The following is a 9098-nucleotide window of genomic DNA, read 5'->3' as shown; positions in this document are numbered from 1 at the left end:
GCTTCCACGTTTTCAGGTATCCTTATAGCAATGCTCCACTTCTCTCACTACCAATCTTCTGTATTAATCTGTTTTCAAACTACTTTAAAGAATTACCTGAGACTGAGTAATTTAAAAGTAAAGAAGTTAATCGACTCACAGTTTCACATGGCTGAGGAAGCCTCAGAAAACTTACAATCATGGTGTTATGTGCATCTGTGTGAAGAGACCACCAAACAGGCTTTGTATGAGCAATAAAGCTTTTTAATCACCTTGGTGCAGGCAGACTGAGTCTGAAAAAGGAGTCAGCAAAGGGTGATAGGGGTAGGGAAGTTTTATAGGATTTGGGTAGGTAGTGGAAAATTACAGTTAAAGGTGGCTGTTCTCTTGTGGGCAGGGGTGGGGGTCACAAGGTGCTCGGTGGGGAGCTCCAGAGACTTATTGTCCAGGAGAAGGAATGTCGCAAGGTTAATTGATTAGTCAGGGTGGGGCAGAAACAAATCACAATGGTGGAATGTCATCAATTAAGTCAGGAACTGGCTATTTTTACTTGTTTTGTGGTTTTTCAGTTGCTTTAGGCCATCTGGATTTATACCTGCAGGTGACAGGGGATATGATGGCTTAGCATGGTCTCAGAGGCCTAACACATGGTAGAAAGCAAAGGAGAAGCAAGCACCTTTTTTTATAAGGCAGCAGAAGAGAGACATTGGGGGCAAGGGAAAGTGCCCCACTTTTATTTAAACCATTATACCTCCTGAGAACTCACTCATTATCATAAAAACAGGATGAAAAAACCACCCCCGTGACCCAATCGCCTCCCACCAGGTTCCTCCCTTGACATGTAGGGATTACAATTCAAGATGAGATTTGGGTGGGGAAACAGACCCAAACCATATCACTACTTCAATCTCTATATTTGTTGGGTTTTTTCAGGCTCTTTATTTATGTCTGATTTAATATTGGTAGATTGTATTTTGCTAGGAATTTATTCATTTCCTCAATTATTCAATTTATTGGCATATGATTGTTCGTAATAGTCCCTCATCCATTTTATTTCTGAGATATCAGTTGTAATGGTTCCACTTTCACTTATAATTTTATTTTACTCTTCCCTCTTGGTTAGCCAAGCTGAAAGTTTGCCAATTTTATTTTTTCAAAATGCCAACTCTTCTTTTTGTTATTTTTTCTATATTTTTCTATTCTTTACTGTATTTATTTCTGTTCTGATCTTTTTTGTTTCCTTCTGATAATTTTGGGATTGATTTTTTTTTTTTTATTTTAAATGTTGTTTTCTGGGGCAGAATGTTAGGCAATTTCTTTGAGATCTAAATCTGACCCCCACAGGCCACAAGTACCTGTTATTATTATTTCATATATTATATCATGTGTCCTAGTGTTTTAGCTGGGACTTAAAGAATATACAAATACTTTCATCCTCATCAGGGAACTTATAAAGGTAAGATTAACTAAACATGATGTCAACCTATGCTCAAATATGACATACTGGAAAATGGGGAAAACACTATATGCCACTGTGAACGATGTGGTCCTCATTGTTCCAAGATGCATCAATCACATATACTGGAAATTAGAATATAGTTCCTCCTGTTTCATGATGTCTGAAACTTCTCTACCTTGTGGCATGCCTGTTCAGCTCAATAGTAATTTACTCTGTGTCCAGGGAGTCTGAGGATTTGCCAAATTGTCATCGTCCTTCCTCATCTTTTCCTAGGAGGGTCCCTTCCCCTATTAAGAAAACAACCTCAATCTTTCTTTCTCAAAGATGGTTGAACTTATTAGGATAGAAATAAAGAAAATCTGCCTGATTATTTATTTGTCTTCAGCATATTACTGACTACTTAATGCTAATTTCTGCTATCCTCATCCTCTGCAATTTATTACAACTCTACTCAAACTCTACTTTTTGATGGCTTTCTACTTGAGCATAAACACTCTTTCAAAATGTCAAAATGGACTGATAAGTTTACATTTCTGAGTCAATTTTCTTTTTGATTATGTATTTTGTAAATTAATTTTATGTGTCACATAGTTCACTGCTTTCATTTATTTTCTTATTTGAAAATATTTCATTGACAAAAATATATTTTCAAGGTGCACAGTGTGATAATTTTATATATGACTATGTTGTTTAAGGATTACTAAAATAACATTAATTAGCACATCTGTTACCACCTATAGTTCACCCTGCATATGTGTGTGCATGTGTTTATGTGTGTATGTGTGTGTATGTGTGGTGAAGACATTTGGAATCTGTTCTTCCATCAAATTTCAAGTAAAAAGTTCAGTATTATAAACTACAATCACCATGTGGTACAATGGATCCCCAGCATGTATTCTTCCTGTAATTGACCCCTCTGCTCTTTTTCTCTTCTAATACCAAATCTGCCAAAGTGAGGTTTTGCTCTGTCACATCTCAGGGTAACATCAGTGAAGCATACAAATGACATTAAGAGACAAAATAGGGCTGGACGCAGTGGCTCATGCCCTTAATCCCAGCACTTTGGGAGGCTGAGGCAGGCCGATCACTTGAGGCTAGGGAGTTCAAGCCCAGGCTGGCTAATGTGGCAAAACCCCGCCTCTTCTAAAAATACAAAATTATCTGGGCATGGTGGCACATGCCTGTAGTCTCAGATACTTGGGAGGCTGAGGCGCAAGAATTGCTTGAACCCAGGAGGCGGAGGTTTCAGTGAGCTGAAATCACGCCACTGCACTCCAGCCTGGGCAACAGAGCCAGACCCTGTCTTAAAAAAATGAGAGAGAGAGAGAGAGACAGACAGACAGAGACAGAGACAGAGAAAGAAAGAGAAAGAGAAAGAGAATATAGAGCCAGGCATTGTGGCTCATGCCTGTAAGTCCCAGCACTTTGGGAGGCTGAGGTTGGTGGATCACTTGGAGCTCAGGAGTTTGATACCAGCCTGGGCAACATGGCAAAACCCTGTCTCCATGAAAAATACAAAAATAGGCCGGGCATTGGTGGCTCATGGCTGTAGTCCCAGCTATTTAGGAGGCTGAGGTGAGAGGATTCCTCGAGCTCAGGAATTTGAGGCTGCAATGAGCTATGGTTATGCCACTTCACTCCAACCTGGCCAACAAAGGGAGATTCTATCTGTTAAAACGAACGAGCAAAAATACAACAAAACCTGATTCTAATACTCATTACCTTGGTGATCTCTGACAACTTACTTACTGTATCTAGGCTCTACTTTATCATCCTAAAAATGGAACTTTTAATAGAACCTACCTCAAAGAGCTGTTGTGATGGCTAAATTAATTGAGACATGTAGAATCTCTATAATATAATAGTAAGTGTGAGATATTATTACTACCTGGTAATTTCTATGACCATCTTAAAGATTCATTTTCAGTACAGCAACAATATGGTAATATTTATCCTCACATGACAATGTGCTATGCAATGTTTAATTTATTCCAATGAGATATATTCATTAGTGTTTCTTTGGCTGCACATGGGATTTTATTTTATGATGGTGAACCAAGAAAATATTGTAGACTCTGATACTTTCAATAAATTCTTAGGATTATTAAAAAGAATAAAGGAAATCAAAATACATAAGAAAACATATGGAGTTAAGGAAAGCAACCATGTTTAAAAGGCAAGATAACGATATCATTGCATACAGATCAGACCTCACTTGCATGGTGAAGGTCTGTAACTGTCAAAGGACATCTGTAATAGCCAGCAGATAGATACAGTATGGTGTAGTGCATTTTATTACTTTTATTTGCTTTGTACAAGTAGAAAAATCAACTGATGCAATCAAACAGTGAAGTAAATGAAAATATAGTGCATTCGATATAGTGCATATTGATAAAAATTATGGATTGTCAACTCAGTGAGAGACTACAAAGTTAATTCATCATAGAATGGTCCCCCTCCTCAAAGATGTAAAAACAACTGGAACACAAATTTTAACCACAGTTTATTACTTTTTTTTAGATAAATAACGGGAAAATCTGTGAAAAAGGCAGTTATTAAGCAAGAACAACTAGAGAGAAAGAATAAACCTGAGAATTTCTATGGATGTCTTCTAAACTTAAGCATAATTGATATATCTACTCATGTAAACAGAATGGGCTAACTGAAACAAAATCAGGTGCTAATCAGAATTTACCGATTATTGAGCTACAAAGTATGTTCGGTTAACAGACTTCTATGTGGAAATAAAAACATTGATAAGGAAATAGTAGGATCCTAATATTCGGAATAGTAATTATTCGAGCACATCTGTAAGACTTAAAATCATCACATATCATCTAAACAACCAGTATTAAATGCAATGTCAGAATATACAAGCAAAAAGTATGAAGGCTAAAACAGAAGGAAAATGCTTATATACACAAAAACACACAAACAGAAACATACAGAAGCACACACACTGTAAATTTTATTCCAGTAGCAGATAAAAAACACTGGAATCCTCGTAACTCCCTTCTGTAATGACCACTGTTTCCTACTGCCACCCAGCATACTAGCTTTCCTTGTCTCCCTTTTTTCTTTGTCTATATCCATCGTGCACATTCTACTGTTATATAAAATGGACTTATTGTGAATACAATTCATCTATCCATCAAGGAAGGCAAAGATTTCTACTATTTTGTTTATTAATCTATGTATAGCAATTAGAAGAGCCTATCATGTATGAGACATATGTAAATATATGTTGAATCAGTTATGCTTGTTATGTCTTCTGGAAGTATGCAGAGCAAAAATTCATGCCCATAACCTAATTTATAGGAATCATATTGTACAAAATTTAAACAAAAATATTACATAAGTTATTCCATGTCCTTCGTAGGGCATATTTTACATCTTTGTTTCGTAAACTATAGATCAAGGGATTCAACATGGGGATAACCAGGGTGTAAAATATGGAAGCCACTTTATCAGTGTCAAAGGAATGACTGGACTTGGGCTGCACGTACATGAAAAGCAAAGTCCCATAGAACACTATGACCACTGTCAGGTGGGCTCCACAGGTAGAAAAAGCCTTTTGTCTGCCAGCAGAATTCATCCTGAGAATGGCTACAAGGATGAGCAGGTAAGATAAAAGAACTATCAGAAGAGATGAAATCAAATCAATAGCTGCAAAGATCAGAATTATCAATTCAATTTCATGTGTATTTGAACAAAGCAAAGGTAACAAAGGGAGACTGTCACAGTAGAAATGACTAATGACGTTGTAGCCACAGAAGGATAAAGTAAAAATCTTTATGGTGACTAGAAGAGAAATGAATGTGCAATAGAGGTAAGGGATTGCTACCAGCACCTGACATACCCTTCGTGACATGATTACTGTGTATAGCAGAGGGTTACAGATGGCCACATAGAGGTCGTAGGACATGGCTGAGAGAATAAAAAGTTCACTACCAATGAACACAAGAAAGAAAGCTAGCTGTGTTGCACAAAAATAATAAGAAATTATATTCTTATCCACAACAAAATTTACTAACATTTTGGGTCCCACAGTTGTTGAATAACCAAGATCCATGAAAGCCAGATGTCTGAGAAAAAAGTACATAGGGGTTTGCAACCTGGAGTCCAACTTGGTGAGGACAATCATGCCCAAATTGCCCATCACTGAGATCACATAGATCATGAGGAACAATGCAAATAATGGTGCCTGCAGCTCAGCGATATCTGTGATTCCCGTAAGAATGAATTCATTCACCGTTGTTAGATTGTGTTGTTCCATCCAGGTTCATCAGAAAACCTATTCTGATAGAGACATCGGCATTGTCAATAGCTTTCCTCTATCATCACCTGAGAAATTTTTTAGTATGCAAAGCTAACAGAAGATATACCTAAATTTCACAATTTGCGACATTTGAAAACATACCTCTCACAAATAAAAACATGTTTAAATAATTTAAGAAAGAGATAAGGCAGATCAGCAGTTTTCAGTTGCTTTTGATTTTACTCACCCAAAAACATTTTCTAATGTCTAGAGACATTTTATTTATCACAATTTGGAGGTGGGCCACTGTTGCATCTAAAGGTTAGAAGCCAGTAAGCTGCTAAACATTCCACTATAATCAATACTCAGCCCATCGCAATACCCAACCCCAAATATCAATAGTGCTAAGGTTGAGAAACTCTGATGAGATACATGAATAGACAGATGATAGATAGATAGTTAATGGGTAGATAGATAGATTATGGATGAACAGATAGAATCATATGAGAGAGAGAGAAAGAGATACAGATATTCATGTCTGTATAGATATATAAAGAAAAATTTTAAAGTTAAAAACATTGTTAATACCGTGGATATCTGATATATGAACAATTATTGTACTATGTTTTTAGAGCTTGGTCATATTTATAGATTAAAATTGTGACATAATACAATTTTAGTTATATAAAAAATTTCTGTCACAGATTCCAAAAATGCATAAAACCACCTGCTTCAAAACATCATCCTGTGAATACCCTTATCTCTTCGGGTGGTACAGCTGAGACTTTAATAGAGTTGACAGATATTAGGCATATGAGTAAGAGCAGCATAACAGATGACAGTGGCAATTATTTATATTTACAAAGCAAAAAATATCAGGAAATATATGGATATAGATATATTCTACACTATATCTTAATTTATGTCATATTTGAAAGGTTATTTTAGGCAAATAGTGTAAGTTATCTAAAACTGTTTGTTCTAATATCCAGAACCAACATGTCATTGCAGAATTGTTGGGAAGGATGACTGAAGATTAAGTGATTCAATGTGTCTTTGCTGCCTAGAAGTAGTTCTAAAACATCAAGTACATTGTGAGTTTTCTTCTTCTTGTTATTTGTTTTAATTGTGACAATGCCTTACTTGAAAGAGGTTTTTTTTACATGTGTACACATACATTATTCTGACTATGAATTAACTTCTTTGTTAGGACCATAATGATGCCTAGGGGAGTCACAGGTCAAGTAGGATGTAATACTTGCAACTTAGGGCAGTTCTTCTCCCCTCCCCCAATTCATGACTAAACTTGGGTAATTGGTATGCTATTGTTTTGGATTACTTATCTATTTTTCACAACGAATTTAATAACATTTTAAATAAATTATTTTTATATAAACTTTATTAAAACATTAATCTTCCCATAGTTTTATTCTCAATATAATTGAGAAATGCTAACTTGAATGTGAACGTTAAGTTTGTTTTATCATACAAAATCTTAGGGGAGTTTGAGGAAATCTGAACAAATTGGGAGAAAATGTGGTCCTTCATATTGGTTTTGTATAATGAAAATTAGTAAAAGCTACTTTTTGGGTAAAAGGATACTGTAGATTAAAGAAATGATTAAAAGTCACCTTGTTACACAATAACATAGAGACAAAATGAATACACTAAACATGAGATATACGTGGATTTCTGGCTGTGATTTAAAACTTTTCTGAACATGCAAGCCACAGAAACTAGGAAATATGGTATAGCACATAATACAAATTAACATATGTATAATCGAATAAATATATATCTAAATATCCCCCAATAACCCACAGATTTAAAATATAGTAGAGCAGGAGATGGAGGGCATGATAACCTAAGATAATCATTATTAGTTAAAAAAAATCGTAAGCCCCAATGTTTTTTGAAAAAAGAAAAGAAAGAAAATAGTTTTTACAATGAAAATTATAGTGACAGCAATCTCAGAGTGAGCTATGAAAAAATAAAGACAAGCAATTGTGTTACATTAAATATAAAGATGATTACATATTATTTGAACTTAATTTTTTAAATAAAATTATGACCTACTCCTATCCTACCCTGACTCAATGAACACACCTTTCTCATATTAGATATATGGTAATGTGTGGCAGTAGATGGAAAAGTTAGATAAATATCTTTAGTAAATAAGATGATGAGCAGCATAAATCCTGTATTTTGTTTGCTTGTTTTGTACAGTTTGGCAATTTAGAAAGGCAAATAATATCATGGATAAGTACCTGTTTTCTTGTTAGGTAAGGAAATATAAATGAGGTTCCTTTCACCATCTTTGGAGTTCTGTGGAAAGAACCAGATTGCTTTTTTTCATATTTTGCTGTCTTTGTTGAATATCAATTGCATTTTTTAAAGCTACAATCTTTGAGAAAATAATATCTGCTTTTGTCAACTCTTAGTGGAAATTGAAGTACTTTCTGAAAATTGTATTGTTCCCTAAAACTGGGTACTTAACAGTCTCCTAATTTTATTTTCTTCTATTTTAAAATGTTTTTTTTTTCTGTGCCTATGATTACCCAAAAAGCCTCATAATTTTTAATAATGCTTTTCACATTCGAATGTAAGGTAGCAACCCCCTTTTTGACTCACCAAGCAGTGAGAAAACAATCATATCTACACATTTATTTGAATAATCATTCAGTGTTAAATTATTGTTAAGGGGTCTGAGAGCCTAGAGCATCTAAATAACAAGTATTTGGAAGGACATGAACATGACTGACCAAATAGTTGCAGTTTCTCCATTCTTTCATTAAAAATATATTTATCTCCTTGTCATTGTGCTTTATTTTCTCCAAGTTTTGGCCTCAATTAGAGAAAAATATGTAAAATGAATACTTTAGAAACAATATCATGATAATGTTTCAAAGATGCTTATAGCATTCAGCCTGTGAAACCATGTAAAATACTTAAAAAGCATATGAAAAATGGAGCACCGTTATTTCTGCTTAGGCATTATTGAGTAACAGAAATCCCGGAGAAATGAATCAGAAATTGTCACACTTTACTATGGTTATGTCATCAAATTAAAGTGGCAGTTTTCCAATGTCACTGAAGCATTATAGATATCTGTAACATATGACACCACAAGAAACATTCTTACTTTTTTTTTTTTTACCTGTAAGGAAGCCTCTGTCTTGACTCCTCCATGTGTCTCTCACATGGCACAGTGAGAACAATTTATGCATTTTTTAATCTTTTGAGACTCTCCCTGAGGAGATGGCAGGCAATTTATTGATAATTCCTAAAGCATTTGAGAGCATAACAAAATGTTTGAGGCTGTCCATTAGTTGTAGAAGACAGTTTGTATTCACTAGTGTATCAGAGTTCTCCAGAAAAACAGTACTAAGAAGAGATAGTTAG

The 9098-nt window shown here is 34.9% G+C and overlaps 1 protein-coding gene across 1 annotated transcript; it reads right to left on the bottom strand.

Moving 5' to 3' along the window:
• OR8K3 (olfactory receptor family 8 subfamily K member 3 (gene/pseudogene)) lies at positions 3382-8877 on the bottom strand. Its single transcript, NM_001005202.2, has 3 exons — positions 8854-8877; positions 7964-8021; positions 3382-5737 (listed from the first exon to the last, which is right to left on the bottom strand). The coding sequence occupies exon 3, from the start codon at positions 5712-5714 to the stop codon at positions 4776-4778; it is 939 nt and encodes a 312-aa protein (NP_001005202.1). The 5' UTR covers positions 5715-5737; positions 7964-8021; positions 8854-8877; the 3' UTR covers positions 3382-4775.

The sequence above is a fragment of the Homo sapiens genome, chromosome 11, assembly GCF_000001405.40.
Source record: "Homo sapiens chromosome 11, GRCh38.p14 Primary Assembly".
Classification (NCBI taxonomy): Eukaryota; Metazoa; Chordata; class Mammalia; order Primates; family Hominidae; genus Homo; species Homo sapiens.
Note: the sequence above shows the minus strand (reverse complement) of the source record. Positions and strands in the feature narration are given on the sequence as shown.

What these genes read in the sequence shown, in the direction of transcription:
- OR8K3 (NM_001005202.2), bottom strand. Translation starts at nt 5,714, where the DNA reads ATGGAACAACACAATCTAACAACGGTGAATGAATTCATTCTTACGGGA.